This window comes from Homo sapiens, chromosome 18, assembly GCF_000001405.40.
Source record: "Homo sapiens chromosome 18, GRCh38.p14 Primary Assembly".
In the NCBI taxonomy this organism is placed as follows: domain Eukaryota; kingdom Metazoa; phylum Chordata; class Mammalia; order Primates; family Hominidae; genus Homo; species Homo sapiens.
The window spans coordinates 24511581-24537766 of record NC_000018.10 but is presented as its reverse complement, the minus strand read 5'-3'; the positions used below and the strand labels follow the sequence as shown (position 1 = coordinate 24537766).

The following is a 26186-nucleotide window of genomic DNA, read 5'->3' as shown; positions in this document are numbered from 1 at the left end:
TTTGTTTTGAGATGGAGTCTTGCTCTGTCTCCCAGGCTGGAGTGCAATGGTGTGATCTTGGCTCACTGCAACCTCCACCTTCCAGGTTCAAGTAATTCTCTTACCTCAGCCTCCCAAGTAGCTGGGACTATAGCCGGGTGCCAACACATCCAGCTAATTTTTGTATTTTTAGTAGAGACGGAGTTTCATCATGTTGGCCAGGCTGGTCTTGAACTCCTGACCTCAGGTGATCCGCCTGCTTCAGCCTCCCAAAGTGCTGGGATTACAGGCATGAGCCACCTCACCCGGACAAACTATGATCGTTTTTTTAAAATAAATAAATTCCTCCAATCCAAAAGACATGTTTCAGCCTTGGTTAAAAAAATATATGGGTAGCAATTTAGTGTTATGAATTTTATAATTACTTTATCTGCAGCTTGTAAAATAAAACTTAAACCCTTTTAAATTGTAGAAATGTATATTGTTTCTCTTACTTCCCTGAATTCTCCTTTGCTCTTTATGTATTATTTAATCTATTCATAATAATGAATAGATTATTCATCCTCTATTTAGCAGAACTGTTCCAAATATTCTATCCTGTTGCTATTATGGTAGACCCTATCTAAGAACATGTGTTCCAATTTTAAGGTCCAAAAATACCTACAAGTGCCTATAAGAACAAAACACAAAATACTTTGGAAAGAGACATCCCTCATCGTGCCTAATCTCCCAATATCCTATTACACAGAAGTGTCAGGTGCAATGGAAACTCCATAATTCATTTTCCTCCTTTGCCTATATTTACCCTCACCTCAATCCACAAAGGATTTCAGCCAACTTACAAAAGTATATACATCACAAAAGAATAAAATAGTTGAAGGAATCAGGGCAAAGACAAATGAGAATAGAAAGTTAGTAAAAACCAGAGGTAAGATCAGAATGCAGACAAACATAACATGGGGCCCTGTCCAGGTACAAGAAGTGACCCTGGAGAGTTCATTTAAGCTGCCTAATGGCCAAAGAGATGACAGAAAGACCATCCGTTGTGAGACTGAAAGTAAACTGTTCAAGAGCAGCCTGGTTGGATGTCAAGACCTGAGAGTAATCTCTCTGGTGGTGCCTCCTAAGGAGGGACCTCAACAGCATCTGAATTCATTTTTTTCATCTTCCTAACCTTTATCAAGGGAACGCCTAAGCCCTCTCAAGTAAGACATGGATGGTTCTCATTGTTAAAAATAATCACTAGGGAGGAAAACTTGGAGACACCATCCAGTGACTCATAGAGCTGCAAACGTTTTTCCTTCTTACTCCTTGTGTCTTACAGTTTTATTACATGCTTTTTGGTCCCCTTTCTGTAGCATGCTTGCTAACTCTCCCATCGTATAGATAAAGGTCTAGCCGCCCTAAAAACCCACTCTTTGAAAGTTGTGTATAACCTTGGAGCACCAGCCCCCAGATTGAAGAAGACTTCACATGAATCAGGACCTGCAGTGCCATAAAAACACATTTTGCTCTAAAATACACCCTGCCAATGTTCATGGAAAATTGTGCAAACTCTAGATTGTTTTACTCGTAGCTTCCTATAGTGCTTAAGTCCTACCTAGAATAATTCACCCTCAGTGAAACCTTTTTTGGGGGGGAGAGGACATATCATGGAAAAAAGCAGGCAACTGAGAGTAATAATGAATATTACATGCTCTTGTAAAGAATGTCTTCAAAGGAGGGGAGCCTTGCCAGCATTACTGAGTAATGATCTTTGAACACAGTATTAAAGTCATAGCATGAAGGAAGGGAGATAAAATATTTAATGACACCTGATATTCCCAGCTCTTGCAAAAAGCCAAGAACTGGTCACAGTTTATCAGTAGCTGCACATTTTAATATCATTAGACAACAATTTTTTCCAATCAGAGTAATAAAGTTACCAAAATCACGGGGTGGTAGAAAGGAAGGGAAATAAAGCAGGTTATAAACTGCTTGGAAATCCTGTCTTTTCCAATTGACTTTTAATATGAATGTGGAAACTGGGCTCAACAATCAAATGACTTTTAATATGAATGTGGAAACTGGGCTCAACAATCAATTGACTCACTTGGGTCACAGATCGGCCAGAGCCTCAATAAATATTGAGGATGTTTCTATAAAACAATCTTTGACAAATCATGTTCAGGACAAATCCTTTAAAACCCCCCTCACCTCCTGGGACACAAGTGTGGTCAGAAGTCCTTTTTGGCTCTAGTGTGTCATTGCCCTCAAATCTTCTAATCCCGCCAATATGAATCAGTTAAAGGAGAGTTACATATCTGGAATTTTGCACCAGGCAAATAAGTGCTTCAAGAGGATGGGGTGGAGGTAGATAAGTAGGTACTAGGTCGATAAGGCAAGGAGATCTGTTCTGTCACAAGAAGAAAACCAGGCAGGAGCAGTGGGCAAACAGAAACCAGCCCATGGAAGGACAATTTACTGAGATACCAATTTGCCTGGGTTCTCAAGGAATATTCCTCTCGTCCTCCGCTGCACCATCCCCCTCCAAATAGCAAGGTCCTTACTGTTCTTGCCACAGAAATTTGAGAAAATATAAGCTACTTAGAGTCTACTTGGAGCCAATTTTTTTGTAAAAGCCTGCGTTGTTTTGTTTTAAGATACAGAGTATATCAATTTTCTAGGACTGCTATAACTAAGGCCACAGACTGGGCAGCTTAAACAACAGAGATTTATTTTCTCACCGTTTTAGAGGCTGGAAGTCTGAGGTCAAGGTGTCGGCAGGGTTGGTTTCTTCTGAAGGCTCTCTCCTTGGCTTGCCTGGTGGCTGCATTCTTGCTGTGTGTTACATGCTCATCTCTCTGGGCTGCATCTGTCTGGTGTCTCTCCCTGTGTTCTAATCTCCCCTTCTTACAAAGACACCAAGCTTATTGGATTACGGCCCACATGGATGACCTCATGTTTACTTAATTACCTCTTTAAAGGCCCTATCTGCAAAAACAGTCACATTCTAAGGTGCTGTAGCACTTCAACATACGAATTTGGAGGAGCCCAAAGTTCAGCCCATAACACAGAGAAACATATTTTGGAGAATGAAGAGAGGCATATAAGTCCTGTGGGAAGCTCGCATCCACACCCGTTTCAGGGAGTACCCAGGGAGGTGATAAGACCTTGAAGGTGTTGCTCTGGGAGACACCTAGAGAGGACAGACCTAAGTACAATGATGCCTCGGCCTCCTTCGGGATTCCTGGGCCCAAAGACATGGCACACAAGTAGCAGAGCCTCCCGATCTGAAGGCGGGGACACTAAGAATTTCTGTGGTCACAGGAATAGGCTGGTGGCCAATGACCAGATGGTCATCCCTGATGCTCAGGCTCTAATGCCCAAATCCTTTGCACTATTCAGGGGTAGGATCCCACAGGCAGCCTCAGCAATGGCCAATATTGAATTTCTAGACAGCCCGGTGGATAGGGGCTCTGCAACAGATTTACATTAGTTTAAAGAAAACATAGAATGTGATATTTCTTGTTGCTTACAGAATGAATTTACACCTGCAAGAGTTATGTCAGGATGTATATAAAGTTTAGGAAAGAATAAAACAAAATAGAAACTAAGCCCATATTTATACAATAAGCCAACCAGGGCATCTAAAACTGCACAGAAGCAGGACAGAGTTTAAATTAAAAGGTCTTGGAGTACAAAACAATTTATTTGAATGTAAAAGGCAAAAGTGAGTCAGGTCTCTTGACCTATTCCAACAATACACTAATCTTTTCCATAAATGATAATAACTGTAGTTCTACGTACTAGGAGCCAACCCCATCCAATCACTTCAGCACTCTTTTTTTTTTTTTTTTTTTTTTTTTTGAGATGAAGTCTTGCTCTGTCACCCAGGCTGGAGTGCAGTGGCACAATCTCGGCTCACTGCAACCTCCGTCTCCCAGGTTCAAGTGATTCTCCTGCCTCAGCCTCCCTAGTAGCCAGGACTACAGGCACCTGCCACCATGCCAGGCTAATTTTTGTATTTTTAGCAGAGATAGGGTTTCATCATGTAGGCCAGGATGGTCTCGAACTCCTGAGCTCAGGTGATCCAGCTGCCTCAGCCTCCCAAAGTGCTGGGATTACAGACATGAGTCACCGAGCCCGGCCTCTCATTTAATTTGAAATTGTTATCATAGCTCTCCTGTGTATCTCAGTATTTTAGCATTATTTGTGATCTTAGGTATCTCTTGTTGACACAGTCCTCCTCCTTAAATGATAAACTTCATGAGAGCAGGATCTCTATTTTCTACTTCTTTTGGACTGCTTCATCGTAGCTAGAGAAATTTTGCTCAGTTAATTCCAGGTGACAGCAATGACCGAGAAGTCTTTCTTTTCTTCCCTCCATAAGCATTAAACAGAGCCTGTGTGACCTTTTGTATTCCTGAGACAGAATGGGGAGTGAAATCTCCCTGTTTTTCCATTAACACAAATTAAGGACATTTTCAGAAAAATTTTCTGGCAGGTAGCTAAGTTCTAGAAGGATCACTGGAAGAAAAAAGAGGTCTGGCATTGAGAAAAATAAGAGGAACCAGAAAAGAGGCAGATTCCAGAGAAAAAGCACAAGAACATAATTAGTTCAGTTTAGGGTAATACGAGCACTTGAAAGTCCTCTCCACCCCTACTCCCACCCCAACCCCAGCCAAGTAATGTGCTTTTTCTAAGCCCTGACTTCTGAACCACTAAAAAAATAAAACAGTAAAGCAAATAGGAAATTAAAACATCCCCATTATTTAAAATAAGATTGATATTATAGAACACAGTGTATACCTGCAGGCCAGTGGATTCGCTCAGGTTGAGCCCCGAATTAGACTGCTGCTTGTCCTCCCCACCCTGGGAGGACTGGGTGCCCTTTACCTCCCATGGTAGTGCAAGGACTTTCCCACTAAGCCTCCTGAAGTTCAAGAGGAACCAAGACCACATTCTCTCCAAGAGCAGCTCGCCAATCAGGGAGTTTTCTCCTCTCCAAAGTGGAGAGGGAATACAAAGAGGCTGAAAGTGTTGTACTAATGCACATGACTTCCCATAGAAGAAAACATCAGGAGTGAAGAAGATGTGTTCTCTCCCAATGGACATGTTGAACATAAGGTCCTAAAGACAAGCCAGTGGAGCCATCCCACAAGTGACTGTAGAGGGATGAGGGGGTGTTCAGGAGTGAGGTCTGGGCTGGGATATGCCCTGGTTATTGGCAGCGGACACATAGTGATGGAAACCAAGAACTGAGATGCACTTCCTCAGAAAGGGGATGTAGAATGTGAGGAAAGGGGGAGTGGGACTAGAGCCCTTAGGAAGATGAGCATTCAGGGGTAGAGAAGACAAAGAGAAGCCAGGGAAGAAACGAAGAAGAAAGCATCCAAGAGCTAGCAGAATAAAGGCAGAATGGTGTCGTGAGAGCCAAGAAAAGGAGAGAAGAAAAGAGTGAGTAATAATGACCAACTACAGGAATTGGGAATGGCTCGGGCAGTTGGCGGCCTGGAGAGCACTTCTACCCACTTCTGAAGGGTAGTTTTGAGATGACAACCTAATTGTAGTGGGTTGAGAAATGGATAGAAGTTGAGGAAAACCTATTCCCCGCCCTCAAGGAGAGGAGAGCTTGGTGGCAGCTACGGATAATTAAACAAGCAATTACAAAAGGCATGGTCTTTGACTTGGATTCATGAGTGTGTCCCCAAAAGTTCCAAAAAAATCATGGACCAAGCTATATGCACCTCATCTGGATGTGCATTAATCTGGGAAGAGATGTATAGCTTTCATAAAATCCAATTGCCTAACATGAGGAAACAAGAAAACAGGATACTAAATAGAGACAGGTCAGGATCCTAAGCCCTCAGAAAGGACAAGTTTATAGTTAAGGTCCTAGGTCATGGCAGCTGAACTGAAAAGAACTGAATCCAGAAAGTCAACTACATTAGTCCATTTTCACACTGATGTAAAGAACTTTTCTGAGACTGGGTAGCTTATGAAGGAAAGAAGTTTAATTGACTTACAGTTTTGCATGGCTGGGGAACCCTCAGAAAACTTAACAATCATGGCGGAAGGGGAAGCAGGCATCTTCTTCACAAGGCAGTAGGAGAGAGAAGTGCAAAGGACGAACTTCCAAACACTTATAAAACTATCAGATCTCTTGAGAACCCACTCACTATTACGAGAACAGCATGGGGGAAACCGATGCCATGATCCAATTACCTGCCTCCCTAGACATGTAGGTATTACAGGTCCCTACCTTGACACGTGGGAATTACAATTCAAGATGAGATTTGGGTGGGGACACAGAGCCAAACCATATTAACAACTCTTCCAGAGGTGTTTCACTAATTGATATCTGGGGGGCACTTGAGGGTTCAGGTGAGGAAGTCTTGGTAAAAGAATAGGAGAAACTAAAGCAATGAGAAAGACAGAAAGCCAGAGCTGTCATCCATGAATTTCACAAATATCTGATAAGTGTCTGCATGTCCTAGGCAGGGTGCAAGGCCTTGGATACATCCTTCATGGAGCTTACCTTCTAAGAGTTTTTGTGTTTAAAATTAGATGCTGAAACTTGAGATTTCGCAGGTGAAAACAGCTCTTTCACTATACCAAGTTAGATTTGCTCAATTATTTCATTCTTAAATCACCATGTTCCCACTTGGAGGGCAGAAAAAAAGAAAGAAAGAAAAACCATGCATGATGATTAACCCACCAAGCTGCCAGTTCAATCTCCCGTGCGCTCCTTTGAGTCATGAGGGAACAAGGAAAAATCAGGATGACAATAAAAAGAGAGAGAAAATTCATATGTTAAAACTTTACATTTCAACTTTGAACTGACATTGCAGCAAGGCTCTTTCCAGCTGCTTTGTCTGGCCATGTCAAGAAGTGACCATGATTTATGGTGCCACCTCCGTAATTTCAATGCTCTTGATCTCCCACCGGAAGCAGTGACAAGTAAGGTTAACTGCTGTGTAAAAAGACAGTATGACTAATGCTTCATGCACAGAGCTGGCACTGATCTACAGCGTGGGGGTGAAGTTGGGGGAGGAAGCAGGGATGTCAGCCATTGGTTAAATCCCTTCCGAACAGCAATCTCCCAAATGCCCTAACACCTTCTGGAACAGTCAGGACTTGTGTGGAAAAATACCCTGAATTGTGTTAGGATCTTTTGCCTTATCCTTGTTCCCTTACAAACATGCAAACAGCCAACTTGACTGATAATTACATTCTGTATTGTTAATAACAGCTAACACTAAGTGTCCGTGCCATGCCAGATCCTGTCTACTTGGCTTATAGTCATTGCTCCAGTTAATCCTCCTCTTATCAGCCCCCATGGTCATCCCCATTCACAGATGAGAAGAATGAGGCTCAGAAGATTAAACAGCTCACCCAAGAGTGTGAAGCCAAGCCAGGATTTGAGCCCAGATCGTCTGACTGCAGGAGACCCCTATTTTAGTCAATTCTTGTTTATTTAATCCCATCTATTTATTTTTACGTGTATTTTTTTTCTTTAGCCAGCATACATACATTTCTTTTTTTTTTTTTTTTTTTTTTTTTTGAGATGGAGTTTCACTCTTGTCGCCCAGGCTGGAGTGCAATGGTGCAATCTTGGCTCACTGCAACCTCTGCCTCCCAGGTTCAAGAGATTCTCATGCCTCAGCCTCCCAAGTAGCTGGGATTACAGGCACCTGCCACCAGTCCCGGCTAATTTTTTTTTTGTATTTTTAGTAGAGACGGGGTTTCACCATGTTGGCCAGGCTGGTCTCCAACTTCTGGCCTCAAGTGATCCACCTGCCTCAGCCTCCCAAAGTGCTGGGATAACAGGCATGAGCCACCATGCCCAGCCTGCTTACATATATTTCTAAAGGATTACTTGCTCTACCACTAGTGAGTAGACTGGGGTATGTGTCACTATAGAAAATCATTCATTTAATCTTCCAAAGCCACAGTTTGCTTTGGTAAACAGGATCTAGATCAAAAATTGTTGTATATGCAAATATTCTTTGAAGGCTAATTACTTTTTCATATGCTTATGTCTCATTTCTCCTAAATAAGGGAAAAAGAAAGGAGGAACTAACATCAGTTGAACAACTACTTCATGCTAAACATTGTTTCAGGTGCAGAAAGCCTCACAATAACCCCACCAGGTAGATATCTTTATCCCCATTTTATAAATTGGGAAATTGAGGCTCAAGAAAGTCAAGGACATTTTCCAGGTGTAACTGTGTGAGAGGTAGAAGTGGGCTCAAGGGCCTCAGTGATTCCTCACCAGGACTGACACGTACTACGGATCTCTTAGTAACTTTCAGTGTCTCATACTCTATTTTACCTACAGGTGAGCAGAAATTAAAGGGAAAGGAGAAAGAAAAGAAGAGAAGAAATTAAGGAGCAGGGTGAGAGTTGGCTTCAAAGATTAGATATCCCTGAAACACTGAAGAAATGGCTTCTCTGCTTTCCAAATTTCCTCAAGATCTGTCCTAAGTCTTATCAGGGAATGTTTGTTTGTTTGGTTTGTTTGTTGTTTGTTTTTGACAGGGTTTTGCTCTGTTACCCAGGCTGGAGCATAGTGCCACAATCACAACTCACGGCAGCCTCAACTTCCTGGGCTCAATCAATCCTCCCGCCTCAGCCTCCTGAGTAGCTGGGACTACAGGCTGACGCCCCTATTCCTGGCTGTTACCAGAGACTTTGGATTACAGTTGTCTGGACAACAACCTTGAGATGCTACAGAGTTTCTTGCCTGGCAAAAAGCCAAACTCCCTCCAGCTCCCGGCGCATGTACAGTACCTGTGTGAGGTTTTCTTTCCAAAGCGCCTGAGAACAAGGTCAAGGCTGTGCTGCTATTGGGATTTTGTCCCGCACAGTAACTCAGCTGACAGTGACTGGGTTCCTAGAGAAGGAGCTAGGGACCTACCTGCCTCTCTTCACACAAACATCGTCTCAGTCTTATCTTCTCAACTCTTTCACTGCACTGAAGAGTTCTTGAAAGTCAGTTCAAATCTCACTTCAAACTCTTTTTCACTTAGAGAAATAAAAATGCTGTTGTTTTTGTCTAATGGAAGTACTGTGCTGTGACTGGATCTGTAACAACGGCGTGTCAAAATGCCAAAAAAGTGTGTCAAAAATAACATTTAAAAAAACTCAGGGGAGACATGTTATAGTCCTAAATGAGCATTTTTATTTCTCTGTGTTGAAATGTGTTCGTTTCCTCTCCAGGGTCTTAATAAACCTCAAAGAAACACACAACACTTAATGAACACAGTTTCAGGGCCAATTCAGTTCTTGATATCCCATTACTGTCAAAACATCTCTCACTTGTATTTGTGAGTTCTCCTCTTCCAAGTCTTTCTCTTCAATTTCTTCTTCACCGGATGCTTATTTTCCCTAAATCTTGAACCTCTGAAGTATATGTATATTGCCATGAAGTTAATCAACTAAAAAGAATTAATTTCAATTTATTTTCTTTGTCATTGTTGAGGAAATATCATCAACTATTTCCTGACACATTAAGATAAAAGTCAAATTCACGGCAATCCCATGTTGCCAAGGGTTTGTTTATTTAATTTAATGGGCTTTCAAATAATATTCAATAGAGTCTATATAGGCAATATGCTCACCTCCCATGATTTGGCTGAGAAAAGATAAGAATATCTAAATTTTAGAGCCCGTTCAGCTAAATTCAAAGTATCATAGTGTTGGCTGGGTGCAGTGGCTCACGCCTGTAGTTCCAGCACTTTGGGAGGCCGAGGTGAGCAGATCACTTGAGGTCAGGAGTTCAAGACCAGTCTGGCCAACATGGCAAAAGCTGGTCTCTACTGAAAATACAAAAATTAGCCAGGCATGTTGGGGTGTGCCTGTAATCCCACTTACTTGGGAGGCTGAGGCAGGAGAATTGCTTGAACCCAGGAGGCAAATGTTGCAGTGAGCTGAGATCTCGACACTGCACTCCAGCCTGGGTGACAGAGTGAGACTCTGTCTCAAAAAAAAAAAAAAAAAAAAAAAGTATCATGGTGTTTCTTTGCATAATTTATAGAGGAAATATTTACTTCTATCAAGACCCATGGTGAAGATTTGATCTAACGCCAGGAAGCTCCTTGAATTTCCTGGTTCTATCACCTCATCCACTGCTTGTTGTCTACTTTGCTTTCTCACTGCAGAGGCAAACACATGACCCAGGCAGAAAAATCAAAATCAGGATGTCTCCATTTCCTGAGCAAAGCAATTGAAAAGCAGGTGGACCTGTGGCATAGCAAAGCCATAGGTTTTTTTTTTTAAGAATTATTTTAGGCCAGGTGCAGTGGCTCATGCCTGTAATCCCAGCACTTTGAGAGGCCGAGGCAGGCAGATCGCTTGAGCTCAGGAGTTTGAGACCAGCCTGGCTCTACTCTGTCTCAAAAGAAAAAAAAAATTATTTTGATAGTAGGAGGGAAAAGATGTAAGGTCTCTTCTTAGTTCAAGAAGAATGAAGAATGAGGTAAGCCTAAGTCTGGCACAGCTGGTGGCCGTTTTGCCTGGATGTGAAGAATGGCTTTCTAAGCATGAAGTTAACAAAGGTAGCCAAGAGCCAAAAAATAAAGAACAGTCTTGATCATAGTGTTTGAACTCATAGATTCTGCTCTACCCAAAGTCAGATCCACCCTCTTAGATTTCCAATTACATGAGCCAATTCATTTCTTTTTGTGTCCATGTTAGTTGAATTTTGCTTCTCAGCATTCCTGAATAACATACCTGATTCTTCCCACAGGTACCCAGAAAGAGTGTTTCATAAGCTAGAAGGCACAGTGGTTCCATGTGCGTGGGTTTTGTACCTTCCTGTTGCTATAACTGAATCCTGCAAAGATGCAAGGTGCTTTTACCCAGATGGTTTTCCCACAGAAATGGACTAAGATTGAAGATCTGCCCACTTCTCATCCCTTTCTGGTTTTTTTATTTCTTTTTTTAAATTTTTTATCTTCCTCATCTCTTTAATAATAACTTTTTACTGCAGGAGAGCACTGATTGCCTTCCCCATGCTACATTTGCTAGGTGTTCTGATACAACTATGATGGGGCAGCAAACAAGTACAATCTTTCTATACTACGCAGCAGTAGCAATAAGGATCAAAGTCTTTGAAATACCCATACCATTGGGATTATTCCAAAAATACTAAGAAACCCATTGATATTAATGGATCAAGAGCGAAAATCCATACAACTGTCTCCATAAATGTTGAAAAGGCATTTCAGGCCGGGTGTGGTGGCTCACTCCTGTAATCATAGCACTTTGGGAGGCCAAGGTGGGCGGATCATGAGGTCAGGAGTTCAAGACCAGCCTGGCCAACATGTTGAAACCCCGTCTCTACTAAAAATACAAAAAATTAGCTGGGCATAGTGGTGTGCACCTGTAATCCCAGCTACTCGGGTGGTTGAGGCAGGAGAATCACTTGAACCCAGGAGGCGGAGGTTGCAGTGAGCCAACATCACGCCACTATACTGTGGCCTGGGCGACAGAGTGAGACTTCATCTCAAAAAAAAAAAAAAAAAAAGCATTTGAAAATTTCTTTTTTTTTTAAATTTCAATATCTACTTTTAATTTTTTTGTCTTAACAAAATAGGAAAAGATGGGTAAACTTCCTTAGCATGATAAAATACATCTATTTCAATCTCCCATCATGCTTACTGAGAAAAAATTATACATAGTCTCAAAAAAATGAGAAACAAAACAAAGATGCCCATTTTATCAACTACTATATAACATTATAATGGGGATATTAGCCAATATAACAAAACAAGAAAAAGAAATGAGGCATAAAAACAAGAAAAGAGGCTGGGCACGGTGGCTCACACCTGTAATCTCAGCACTTTGGGAGGCCAAGTTGGGCGGATTGCTTGAGCTCAGGAGTTGGAGACCACCGTGGGCAACATGGCAAAACCCCATCTCTATAAAAAATATGAAAAAATTAGCCGGGCAAGGTGGTGTGCCCCTGTAGTTCCAGCTACTCAAGAGGCTGAGGTGGGAGGAACACTTGAGCCTGGGAGGCAGAGGCTGCAGTGAGCAGAGATCATGCCACTGCACTCCAGCCTGGGTGACACAATGAGACCCTGTCTCAAAAAAAAAAAAAAAAAGAAAGAGAGAGAGAAAGAAAAGAGGTAAAACTAGCATCATTTAAAATAATTTAATACTCTCTCAAGAAAATCCAAGTCAACTGTTTTAATAACACAAAGCTATTACTAAAACTAAGAACAAGCATAAGTGTGACCAGAAACAAAATTGTTACATAAAATTAATAGCCATCATATATTTACTGTTCAGGCAACTACTGATTATATTGTAAAATGGAAGAAAAAGACTTGATTTGAAATAGCAAAAAAAAAAAAAAGTGGGGGGCGGGGATAATATATCTAGGAATGAACTTAGCCAAAAGTATGAAAAATCTACACGAAGTAAAATTTTAAATGCTTCTAAGGGGCAAATAGACAGTAAATAAATGGAAAGACAACCATTCTCTGAAACAAGGAAAATCAAATTATAAAGATGTCATCTCTCCCCAAATTAATCAGAGAATTCAACACAACTCTAGTGAGCTGAGCATGGTGGCTCACACCTGTAATCCCAGCACTTTGTGAGGCTGAGGCAGGCGAAGCACTTGAGGTCAGGAGTTGGAAACCAGCCTGGCCAATATGGTGAAACCCCATCTCTACTAAAAATACCAAAAAAACTAGCCAGGTGTGGTGGCATGCCCCTGTAATCCCAGCTACCCAGGAGGCTGAGGCAGGAGAATTGCTTGAACCTGGGAGGTGGAGGTTGCAATGAGCCAAGATGGCACCACTGCACTCCAGCCTGGGCGACAGAATGAGACTGTCTCAAAAGAAAAAAAAAAAGAAAAAGAAAAAAAAATCTCTAGTGAAAACACATATAATTAAGAAAAAAACATAGGCAAAGCCATTCTAATGTTCCTATGGGGAAAAAAAAAAGTGGTCAAGACTGTTCAGAAAAATGTAAAGAATTTATCTGAAATGAAAAGCAAGAAAAAGAGTAATAATGAAAAAGAGCAATGCTGGGTGTTGACATATATTATAAAGCTAGAATAATTTTTAAAGTACACCACCATTCATGAAAAAAATACCAGTAGAACATAACAGAAAAATTGATAAATAGACCCAAATACATAATATAAATTTAATATATGGGTTTTTGTTTTTGTTTTGTTTTTTAAGACGGAGTTTCACTGTCGTCCAGGCTAGAGTGCAGCGGCACAGTCTCAGCTCATTGTAACCTCTGCCTCCCAGGTTCAAGCGATTCTCGTGCCTCAGCCTTTCAAGTAGCTGCAATTACAGGAATGTGCCACCACACCTGGCTAATTTTTATATTTTTAGTAGAGACGGGGTTTCACCGTGTTGGCCAGGCTGGTCTCAAACTCCTGACCTCGAGTGATCCGCCTGCCTCAGCCTCCCAAAGTGCTGGGACTACAGGCGTGAGCCACCGGGCCAGGCCTAATTTAACATACGTTAATGCTGGCATTTTAAAATAACAGGGGAAAGGTAGTTTATACAATAAATAGTACAGGTTAGCTATGTGAAAAAATAATCAGTTGTATCCCTATCTCACGCTTTACACAAAAACAAATTTTAGATTGAGCAAAAATCTAAGTGTAAAATATAAACCCATAAAAATACCAAGGGAAAATGGAAAAATATATTTAAACTCTCCAAGTGGGAAAAGACAATCTATGTATGTGACAAAACTCAGAACCCTGAAAATAAAAATTTTGAAAGCTGGAACCATACATATAAAATATTTCTGAATGGCAAAAACACACAAATAAACAAACAAATAACATAAACAATTGAAAAGATAATCTAGGCCAAAAAACACACACTTGCAGATGATATCACAACCAAAGAGCTAAAATTTCCTCACTGTGTAAAGAATGTCCTACAAATTAATAAGGAAAAAAACAAACAGCCCAAAAGAAGACAGCCTGCTCAGGAAAGGAAATAATTAGTGACTTCCAAAAAAATGCTCGACTTCACTCAAAATAAAAGAAATCAAAATTATAATGAAATAACACTTCAACCTTCTAAACTGGCAAACTTCAATACATTTGATAATAGACTTTGTAGATGGGAGTATAAGAAAACAGGCTCTCTCTTCTCATATCACTAATAGAAATATAAACTGATATAATCTCTATGGAGATAAATTTTGTAATATATATCAAAATGTTAGATGTTTGTATCTTTTAACTCATCAATTCCACTCCTAAGATCTTATCCTGTGGAAGTGAGATTCACGTAGCATGATTCAGTACAGCATTGTTTATTGCAGGAAAAAATTAGGAACAACTAAGTCTCCATCCGCAGGAGATGTACACTCAAACAGTACACAGCCATTAAAAAGAAAAATGCTAGTCCCAGCTACTCAGGAGGCTGAGTCAGGAGCATCACTTGCACCCAGGAGTTGGGGACTGTAGTGTGCTATGATCACGTCTTTGAATAGTTACTGCACTCCATCCAGCCTGGGTGACATAAAAATAATAAATAATAAAGCATGTCTTTACGCTGTGACACAGAATGATCTGCCAGATGCATGTGCTCATAATGCAAAGGATTTCTCTGAAAGGAAAAGCAAGAAACTGAAGCTGGACTCTTGGTGGCTGGAAGGTAGAGTGGGAAGACTTGGTTTCACTGTATAACCTTATGTATCTTTTGAATTTGTGTTTTATACATGTTTGTATTACTTATTGAAAATAATTAGGGAGCTTCCTGATAGCTTAACACATGGAGGTTCCTGGAGAGTGGTCCACTCAGGAGGGCTTGGAAGCTCCCAGCGCCTTCCCCACTACCTTGCCCTACACATCTCTTCATCTGTATCCTTTGCAATATCCTTTATAATAAACAAGTAAACTTAATTTTCAAAGATCAGATTTGCGACATGTTCAGGTACTTGCCTCCAGTCACACAAGTAGTTCTCATCAGTGTTACACTGCCTCGCGAAATCCTAGAGATGACCAACAAGTACATGATGGACCCAATCCACATCTTGGTGAATTGACTCTGGAAGGCATCAAACAGCCTTTTGTGGCAGTGGAAAGAGAAGAGTGGAAATTCGACATCCCATGTGATCTCTACGAAATGCTAACTGTTATTCAGGTGGTCATCTTCTGTAACACCAAAAGGAAAGTTGACTGGCTGATGGAGAAAATGAGAGATGCTGCTCTCACCGTGTCCTCGATGCACAGAGACACACCTCAGAAAGGGCCACAGTCCGTCAGTAAGGAGTTCCCATCCGGCACCAGCACAGGGCTCATTTCCACAGATGTCTGGGCCGGGAGGTCAGATGTCCCTCAGGTGTCCGTCATCATTAACTATGACCTGCCCAAAAAACAGAATTGTACTCACACAGAATTTGGAGATCAGGTCGATATGGCTGGAAGGCTGTGGCCATTAACTTTGTAAAGAATGACCAACATCTGCATCCTGAGAGACATTGAACAGTACTATTCCACTCAGACAGAAGCAATGTCTATGAACATCACTGATCTGATCTGAAGAAGCAGTTCCACTACTCTAAAGATGAGTTGGAGACTGTTCATCTATTTTGGGCTCCTGTTTGGAAATATTTAGGAGCAGCTTCTATTTAGTGGGGTTTATGTGGACTATCTTTACATAGCTCCCCACCATACACCCCAGGAAAAGCTCTGGAGATCCTGCCATGTCTTCTTATCCATATGTAATTAATGCATTGCTCCAAGTCTTTCTCACTAAACATTTAAAACTTTTCCCATAAAAATAATAGTAATTAGAATTATTCAAATTATTAAATTATTTTTAAATAACAAAAATAGAATATCCATACTTCAATGCAGGAAGATTATTTCTAAGACTCAATTTTAAGAAAATAAACCAAAATACAGAAAGTACATATACATTCACCACAATAGTTTTTAGTTCTTTTTGTTTTGTTTTAATAATGAGGAAGTAGCAACAACATAAATACCCAATATTAAAGGAATAAAATAATATTACATGCGTGAAATGAAATACTATGCAGCTATTAAAAACTATGTTTATGAACAGCTTTTAACAACCTGGGGATGTGGTTATGTGATAAAATTTAGTGAAAAAAATCAACGCAGATAATCTTATATGCTATGATCTCAACTACACAGAAATACACACAGGAAGCATGTTAAAATGTTAATAATTATCTCAGTGCAGTGGGATTACAGAACATCTCTTTTCCTCTGTACTTTTTCATAGTTTTCAATTTTCCCAAGATGGGGATGTATTTTTACTATAGTATCAAAAATGGTTAATAACAATTAAAATCTGGATGCTCTTGCTCACAAACCCTGGATCCCTTATTTACTAATGACTGACTCAGAGAAACCTCTTTCTAGGGCTTCATGATACATTGCACACACAATGGTTTTCTGTCTTCTAATAGGATCCTACCAGAAGTGATTTCATTTCATCTCCCTCTCAGTGCTGGAAAGATTGGTGCCCACCTTTTCCTCATCATGCCCTCTGCGTGGGACTGCGAGTCCAGCAGTATAACAGTTTCAGGAGTCAGTCTACTGGGATACATATCCCAATTCCATCATTTTCAACTTCGTTTCTCTGGGCCTCCCTGGGGATGCAGGAGATCCTCTGTGGAATGTCATTGCATGGATTAAATGAGATCCTTTGTGTCACATGCACAGCTCACAGTCTGGGACATAGTCAATCCTTAAGAAATATTAGGTATTTTGCACAAGAGAATTTGCTTTTCAATTCAAGACTGTGACTTCAAAACAGGGAGAGAAACTCTCCTAATAACACCTTCTCTAGCAGCTTCTCTGCATCCATTTTTGCCCAACAGTTTGAGATTCTGTCATATGGCTTGAGGTTTTGTTTGCATTAATTCCTCCTTTACTCTGCCACTGGGATATCCTTCAAGCCTTTGAAGCCCACACCAGCAGGAAGCCTTGGGGACTTTACAGACTTTGTGCTGATGCCCCAGGAAGGCTGTCTTTCCTAGAGAAGAGGGAATGAATTGGCGGCAGCGGAAGGTCAGAGAAACCCCATGACCAACAGGCCTCCAGAAGATTTATGCGTAACTCCTGAAAGGGCAGGACAATGGTTGGACTCCTTTAAGAAGAGAAAGAATTCAAACATTCACGTTGACCAGAAGTAGACTGATTTCATGGCTAAACTCAGACACAAGATTGGAGCCCAGATCTTGATTCTGAACAGCATTCTCCACTACAAGGAACTAGGGCTCCTTGAAGAAAATCTGATTCCCGGACTCAGTCAGAGAAAGTAAAAGATGGGCCTGGAATATTTTCTTGTGCCAGAAAGTAAGGAGGTGCTCAATAATGAGGACATGTCAAAAGAACACAGAGACAAACTTGAAGGGACTCGCCCTGGCCAAATCTGGGACAATTTGAGCATCAAAATAAATAATGATAATAATGGATGAAAACCCTTTAAATAAAATAAAACTCTAAAAATGTCATACTGATGAGAGAGAAAAGGCTCTTCTTTTAAATAGTAGAAGGCCAACTAATAAATACGGAAGGAATGATGGAGTTATAAAAGCATCAATGATGCAAAAAAATAGTGGTCATAGTTTGAAGAAAAATAGCACATTTATAAGGTCTCAAAATATCTACCAACAAGTGTCTAATTAATTATAAAGGGAAGAGTCGGGTGCTGTGGCTCACACCTGTAATTCCAGCTACTTGGGAGGCTGAGGTGGGAGGATCACTTGAGTTCAGAAGCTCAAGGCTGCAGTGAGTTACAATCAGGCCACTGCACTCCAGCCTGGGCAAGACAGCAAGCAAGACCCCAACCCTATAAAGAAAAACTAACAATTTATAATATATGTAAAGGGAAAAAAAATAGGTTTAGAGTGGGAAAACCTTACCCAAGTTATCAAAGTCATCACTACTAATGAGACATCATCTACCAAATTATCGGACTCATTATTTGAAATAAGACAGCCTGATATGATGCGTAGAGAAGCATATTACTTCTCTGGTACTTCTGCCAAAAATGTATAACCTGGATATAATCAGACAAAACCATACTGAAGAACATTCTACGAACTAACTGGCCTGTCACCTTCAAAAATGTCAAGGCAAAGGAAGACGAAGAAAGGATAGGGAATTTTTCCTGATTAAAGGCAACCTAAGAAACACAACAATTATATGCAACGTTTGATGCTGCATTAGGTCTTAGACCAAGAAAAAAAATAGCTATAATTTTGAGATACCTTACTGACTGGAACAATGGATGAAATTTGAATACGAATAGTGGATTAGACAATAATATTGTATCAATGTTCAATTTCCTCACTTTGATCATTGTTTCATTCCTAAGTAAGCCAATGTCCATCTCAAGTATTCTGGGGTAAAGGGACATGGTGTTTTCATACAGAGAGTGACAGAGAGAGCAGGAACGATATAAAGCAAATAGGAAAAAATACAAATAATTGATAAATCTACATTTAAAAGTACATGGGAATTTCTTCTACTATTGTTACCACTTTTCTGCAAGTCAAAATTAAAAGATTAAAGAAAAACAAACCGGGGGGTGGAGGGGGCCAGGGGGTCATGTGACATCAAAGACAAATGAGATTGACTGAATGCTCCCTCCCTCTTCCCAGCCCCGTATGCGTGCACACGCACACACACACACAGTAAAGCAAAAAGCTAGTTTCCTTGTCCTTGGCTTCTGCATGGAAAACTGTGATCCTCTTTGCTTCCCAGGCACCTCAGGAGAGATGAAAATTAAAACCCTTCCAATGGAAATACACTTTCACCTTGAGGCTCTCTTCCTTCTTCTCAATTAAAGAGTATTTTGGGAAACAACTGGTCATTTAGGGCCTTAAACACTAAAGTGAGTGCTCACTCCTTACCCCTTCCCTTAAAGAAGGTGGAGAAAGAATAGAAGCCTCTTGGAGAAGTTTGTAATTCTCCCCGGCAGGACGTACCGTGGCAGCAGGAGTGCACTGCGCTGGAGGAGGCCCCAAGACGGTGTGTGCGGGAGGGCGCTGGGTGTGGGGCTGTTCGCAAGCGGTGGAGTGAAAATCCTGCATCACGGACTTCAGGAAGAGATGTTGGGTCCCGGTGGCGATGGCAGCGTGGAACAGCAGCAGCCCATCCCCACACCTGAAGCACAAGTATGTAGGTGATTTCAAAAGGGAGGAAAGCTTCCGTCAAGGCAGCTTTCCTAGTATCCCAAGCTGCTCTAGGCGAGCAGCTGAATCTGCTCAGGCTTCACCTGAGATCTTTCTCAATTCACCTGAGATCTTTCTCAATTTTTCTCAATTCCACCTTTGGCTCTCTATGCCTCTGATAGCGACAGGAGGCAGCCAAACGCCCAGGCATTGGGTCCCAGTGAAACCCCACCTCCAAGCTGAAGACGAAGACAGTTTAAAGCCTGAAGGCCAAGCTACAGGTTAAATTCTCAGACTGGATTGAGAACTTGTCCTCCTGTTTGGCACGCTTTCCTCTGATTGGTCCCCACCCTTCACCTGTTTTACATATACTACCCTTTCCTAATTGGTTTTCTACATCGTTGTGCCCAGCTTTGAGTGGCGTTTTCACTTTAACCTTTTCTGCGTCCTCAGAAACCATCAGCAGGCACTCCCCATCCTGTACCTATAAAGATCCCAGACTCAGTTGGTAAAGGAGAGACGACCTGACTTTGGGGAAAATGACCTGCCCTTTCTGTTCCCTCTCCAGCTCCCCTCTCCACTGAGAACCATTTTCATCACTCAATAAAATTCTCCACTTTCACCACCCTTCAACCTTCCATGTGACCCCATTCTTCATGGACACTGGACAAGAGCTCGAGACCCACCCAGTGCAGGTAATCAGAAAAGTTGTCACACCTTTGTGCTTGTGGTGGGGAGGGCAGCAGCCCCACATGAGGAGGCAAGGGGCCAACCGAGCTGCTAACAAACCACTGTCCATGGACAGCGGAACTAAAGGAGCACTTTAACATCCACTGTGGGGCTTTGGGGTCACAGGCACCCTCACCTGGGTGCTGCCGCATTGCCCTCCAGGCGACATTCCTGGTCTGGCTGCAGGCCCTGCATGGAGCTTGTTCCTGTGTTGGCCCCTGGGGTGGCTGGCTGGATCCCGCAGTTGCTTGTTCACATGCTCCCTCCCACAGAGTTGAGCGCAGTGGGGCCAAATAGAGGGGGCAGTCCTGCCTTGAGTCCCGAGAAGGGGTCGAGAAAAATCCTGCATCACCTCAATCAACTTCCTTATCTGTAAAATTGGGCTAAAGTACCTGCATCATAGGATCAGCCTGAGAATTAAGTAAGATAGCACTTATAAAGTTCTTAGAAAAACTGGCACATCCTAAGTATTTGATAAGTTCATTGTTATTGCCATTATCATTTCTACTGACAATCCATCTTTGCCCTTGTTTTGCATGTTGTATAGTGGTGCTGGGCAGCTCCTCCCTCCCTGAGGGCTGTTCTGCCAACCTCACGACACCATCATAGAAGACTTCAGAGACTGACTGTTGCAGGTTGAACTGTGTCCTCCAAAAAGATATGTTGAGTCCCTAATCTCCAGTACCTGTGTATGTGACCCTATCCGGAAATAGAGTTTTTGTGGATGTAATCATACTGGATTTGGATGAACCCTAATCGAAGATGACCAGGGTCCTTCTAAGAAGAGAATAGATGCATGTGCGCGCAAGCGCGCGCGCGCACACACACACACACACACACACACACACACACACACAGAGGACCATGTGACAGCTGAGAGATTGGAGTGACGTGTCTGCAAGCAAAAAATGCCAAGGATTGCCAGCAACCACCTATGGTCTCCTCCCCTAGATCATCTAGAGAGAACACAGCCATGCTGACATCATCATTTCAGGCCTCTATCCTCTGGAACTGCAATATAATAAACTTCTGTAGTTTTAAGCCACTCCATTTGTGCTACTTTGTTATAGAAGCACTAGGAACCTATTACTCTCACCTTTGCTTTTCCCATTCACTCTACGGACTTTCCTTTTTAAGCTTCCCTCCCCAAACATTGTCTCTCATAGGATTCTCATCCATGTATTTGTGCATGAACTTCCCCGCATCTTATGAAATATCTGAGTAAATGTTTAGTCACAGTGGTCTTTGTCAGAAAACTGCCACGTTCTTTAAGGTTTGTTTTTGTTTTTTTTTAATTTGGTGTACATGAATTATTTCCCCACCATAACATATGATTGTCCAACCAAAGGAATTGACACAGGACACTGGATTTCTTTCTTCAATTCTGTCAGTGTTAGGGAACTATCTGTTGTCGTTGGAATCAGAAGCCAGTCTTGTCCTGCTGAGCCATCGTGTATCCTTATTTGGGTCTGGTCTTTCATAATCTTGATGTCCTAATATTCTCTCAACTGGGAGATTGACAAAGAAACCACTGTCATTTCACCAACTGATTATTCAATTCCATATTCCTAAATCTCATTTTTTTCCAGCTTCTCCGAGTTAAGCATTACATTTTATTTCAGCTAAATCACCCCTGTAATAGGCTGAATCTTATTCTGTTAGAGATTTTGATGACTTCTCCATTGATGGAACATAAAACAGTGTCTAGCATATATACATTTTTACAGTTTAATTCTGGGCTCCCAAAAGATAAGTTGTGAACCAAATGGGGAAAGAGATATGACTAAATAATACCAGCTGAACAGACTAAAATATGTAGGAAAAATTAAGCCTCTCTCAGTAAATGTCAAGTATGAAATTGTTTTATATAATTTTATTCATTGTGCCTATCCTACTCCCACAAGATTTCATTTGATTTTCAGAGATTGATACCATTATGTTCTGCATTCCGAGTATGAGATCAAAACATTGCCAGTTCCAGGCCAGAATTTCTTGCACTCTGATGCAGAACTTGCTCTAACAATGGTGCATGCCCCAGAACAGAGTGAAGTCTGTGATTCAGCTAGACCCTACCCAACGCTACTACTCCCTGCAGACTGATGTGTGTGGATAATCACTGTGTGAGCAGAGCATTGAAGAACCACAGTTGATCAGAGCAAGGGAGCTTAGAGGGACAGCAGAGGAAATGTTCCTAATTTTCAACAGTTATTGCCCCAACCAGGGTTGACTGGAAGGAACACTTCTGCTGAAGCACACACGTAGGCAGATGTGGCAGTGATTGTTCACCAAACCTTCTGCCTTTTCCTCCTAGATACACAGCTAGACTATATATCTCAGCCTCCCTTGCCAAGACATGTGGCTGGTGACTGAGTTCTGGCCACTGGAACATGGATCAAAGTGATATACTTGTTAAAGAAAAAAATTAATCATGATACTTGATCAAGATGGTAAGGAAGACTCTATTCAAGGTGGGAACCATCAAGATAGGTGTAGAGACCATTGCAGTGGGAGAGAGAGATTGGGCTCCACTCTGAATACAGGATGGGCAAGTGGGAATTTACAGCCAAGGAGCAGGATGGGAGCCAGCAGAATGCAAAGTTACTAAGAGAAAACATCAGAGGTAAGGAAAATTCTTGTTAGAGCAACTCAACAGAATTCTTGCTGAAGGCAGGCCAGGATGATAAGATATTGAGGGTGGTCAGATACCAAGGGTGGGGGACTTTCGTTAAGCTGACTTGGCAGGATTCTTGTTTAAACTAGATTCCACAAGGACAGAGAGGGAAGCCCGAGGTTGCGCCTAGTCGAGCAGAGGACTCAGAGGAGACTGATTCAAGTTTGGGTCAAAGGAGAGTGTCTTTGTCAAATGCCACTTTCAGGACTGGGCTCCAAAACCTTTCATGCAAACCTCCTTGTTCTCTCTCTCTTCCTTCACCTGCCAGCTGGATTCAGAGTACCCAGGGGGAAACTCCAAGGCCCTAGGGCAAAATCCAGCAAACATTTTCTATAAAGGGCTGGATGGTAAATATTTTAGGCTTTGGGAGCTATACCATCTCCATTATGACGGCTCAACTGTGCTGCTGGAGCAGGAAAGCAGCCCTTGGTAATATGTAAATGAATGAGTGTGGCTGTGTTCCAATAAAACAGGCTAGATTTGGCCCATGAGCTGTAGTTTCCCAAACTCTGCCCTAAGGAAATCACTCAGTAGAAGGATCTTGGGTTTCTGAATCCCTGTGTGGATTAGACTATCCCCTCCCATCTATTGAGCCTCATTGGCTGAGACGGGAATGATGAGTTGGCATGGGATTCTGCTCAGATTAGTCACTCAGTAATCCAGGCCCACAGAGGCATCATTTTAGCATGCACTTTCACAACAACCCCTAGTGGTGAAAGGAAGTATTACAAATTGCACACTTAAAGCTTACCCCCAGGAGTGGTATGTGTCATTTCCAGTCGCATTTCATTGACTAAAGCAAGGCACATGACTACATCTAGCTTCAAAAGGAAAGCAAAAAATAAAAATAAAAAAACAGAGAAATGACCAACCATATGTCTAGGAGAAGAGGAGAATCAAATTATTTGTGAATAACACTAATAATACCACTAAACATTAAACAAAGCTATCAGTCATTCACATCCTCAGTGCAAGAAAGCCAGAAGAGCCAATCAGATCACTATCCTCCCAAGACCAAGGTTGACCTATTAAGGAGAGGTGAAGTGGGTTGTGAGAACTCAGACCCCTGTGGGTAGAGCGAGCTTAGATTAGATGACTGTGTATGGTTTTCAGAAAGCAGCATTATGGCATGAGGAAAATGGGAAGTGGGGGGAGCTATGGAGTAGGGGAAGGGAAGACTCAAGGGCCTAAATTAGCATCTAGATACAAATTTGGCTTCCAATCCACCCAGTTCATTTTCTTCATAGAAATGACAGAATTAAATAGCCCACTTACAAATGATTCTGTGTTAGATTGAGCCACATGAGATTGACAAGATTTGACCACTTTTTACCTACAAAAACATTTTCCTATGGTCAAGCCTACCTTTATATTTTAAATATCACTAACGATTCACTTTGGAAATAGAATGGCATAAAACAGTTACATCACATTCATAGAGTTAGAGGATTCTATCCAAAAATATGCTCAGAACATTCAGAAAATAAAATATTCCTTGGGCTGGATAACCAGATCTAGTTCTTGAACATACTCCTAAGAGGAGCAGGAATGGCTATATTCTTGTCTTGATACTGCCTCTTCTACGGTTGCAATTCACCTCACTTCTAAACCTAAGGGAAAGAGAACTAATGTATACATTGAGTTCCAACTATGTAAGGGATTTGAGTCAGGGTCACAATTGAACTGAAATGGGAATTAAGGGTCTGGCAGCCCACCAAGCAGGCCCAAGGATCTTTTTGTCTGGAGGAATGGAGCCTTCAGGAAAGCAGAGATGAAGAGAATGCAAAATGAACATGGACATAGAGGCTCAGCGTTGAGCCTAGCCTATAAGACCAGGTTCGAGCCCAACACTGTAGAAAGAAATGAAAAGTGCTGTTTTCTTGAGTGACTTTGTGAAATACAAGAGGTAAATGGTAAGTCTTCAGGAATAGGGATTTTGTGACTTCTGGGTAGCAGGAATAAAGCAGGAACACCTAGAGTCAGGTCTTAATTTGCCAGAAAGCAGTCAGCAATGAGTGGAGGGCTTAGAGAAGACTTCACAAGCACATGTGTGAGATAACTCCCTTAGGAAGCTCATAAATAATGGTGGAAGACTAAGGAAAGTGTGGAGGACTGATGTCCTAGAATTAGACAGATGGGGACAACTGGCCAAAGAAATGTGGGCATTTATTACAAAGTCTGAGGGGTTCCCCAGAGAAATCTAACACACACACACACACACACACACACACACACATATATATATACATCTCCAATAAAGAGATTTATTACAAGGAATTGGCTCGCCCAACTGTGGGGACTAGCAGGTCCCATGATCTTCAGGGTGAGTAGGCAAGTTAGAGAACCAGGAGAGCCGATGATGTAGTTCTGGTCCAAAGGCTGGTGCACTTAAGACCTAGGAAGAGTCAATGTTTCAGTTCATGTCTTAAAGCAGGAAAAAGCTGATTTCCAGTTCAAAGGCCATCAGGCAGGGAGAGTCCTCTCTTTCTTGGGAAAGGATCAGCTTTTTGGTCTATTCAGGCCTTTTACTGATTAGATGAGGCCCACCCACATCAGGAAGCATAAATTGCTTTACTTAGTCTGACTTAAATGTTAATCTCATCCAAAACGCCCTCATACACGTACCTAGGCCAGGCATGGTGGCTCACGCCTGTAATCCCAGCACTTTGAGAGGTCGAGGTGGGCAGATCACCTAAGGTCAGGAGTTTGAGACCAATCTGGCCAACATGGCAAAACCCCGTGTCTACTAAAAATACAAAAAATTAGCTGGGCATGGTGGTGCACACCTGTAATCCCAGCTACTTGGGAGGCTAAGGAAGGAGAATCACTTGAACCTGGGAGGCGGAGGTTGCAGTGAGCCAAGATTGTGCCACTGCACTCCAGCCTGGGAGACTGAGTAAGATTCTATCTAAAAAAAAAAAAAAAAAAAAAAAAAGTATCCAGGGCTGGGTATGGTGGCTAATGCCTGCAAGCCTAGCACTTTGGGAGGCCAAGGTGGACAGATCACATAAGGCTGGGAGTTTGAGACCAGCCTGGCCAACGTGGTGAAACCCTGTCTCTACCAAAAATACAAAAATTAGCCGGGTGTCGTGATACATGCCTATAATCCCAGCTACTTGGGAGGCTGAGGCATGAGAATTGCTTGAACCTGGGAGGCAGAGGTTGCAATGAGCTGAGATCGCACCACTGCACTCCAACCTGGGCAACAGAGCAAGACTCTGTCAAAAAAAAAAAAAAAAACACCCAGAATAGTGTCTGTCCAAATATCTGGACATCCCATGGCCCAGTCAAGTTTACAGAAAAATTAACCACCAAGCAAAGTAACCTTATTTACTCACACAGACTGATGATTTTGTTCTATGCATACACCATTTCACAAAATCTTCCCAACAACTTTCTGAGTTAGGTATTACTGAGGCAAGTTAAAAGGTTAGGTGGATTATCTGAGAGCACAGCTAATGGAGGAGCAAAGATTTGAACCCATAACTTCATGCATGTTAGAAACTGTTGTTTCTAACAGTTTCCAGAATAAGGAGTCCTTTTTATTAGCAATAAAATACCGTAACTTTGTTTAAATCTTGATTCAAGCAAACAAACTATTTTTTTAAAATTTTTTGAAACAAATGGGGAAAACTGAAGATAATCTTAGTTTTAGATAATATTAAGAAATTATTGT

The 26186-nt window shown here is 41.7% G+C and overlaps 1 pseudogene, besides 1 other annotated feature; it reads left to right on the top strand.

The window, feature by feature from the left end:
• Positions 14859 to 15693, top strand: EIF4A3P1 (eukaryotic translation initiation factor 4A3 pseudogene 1; annotated as a pseudogene).
• Positions 23207 to 23306: a silencer, noted in NCBI's record as "silent region_9368". NCBI's record gives its function as "represses an Ori minimal core promoter by ATAC-STARR-seq in GM12878 lymphoblastoid cells {active_cell/tissue: GM12878}" and the evidence as "EXISTENCE:reporter gene assay evidence [ECO:0000049][PMID:35858748]".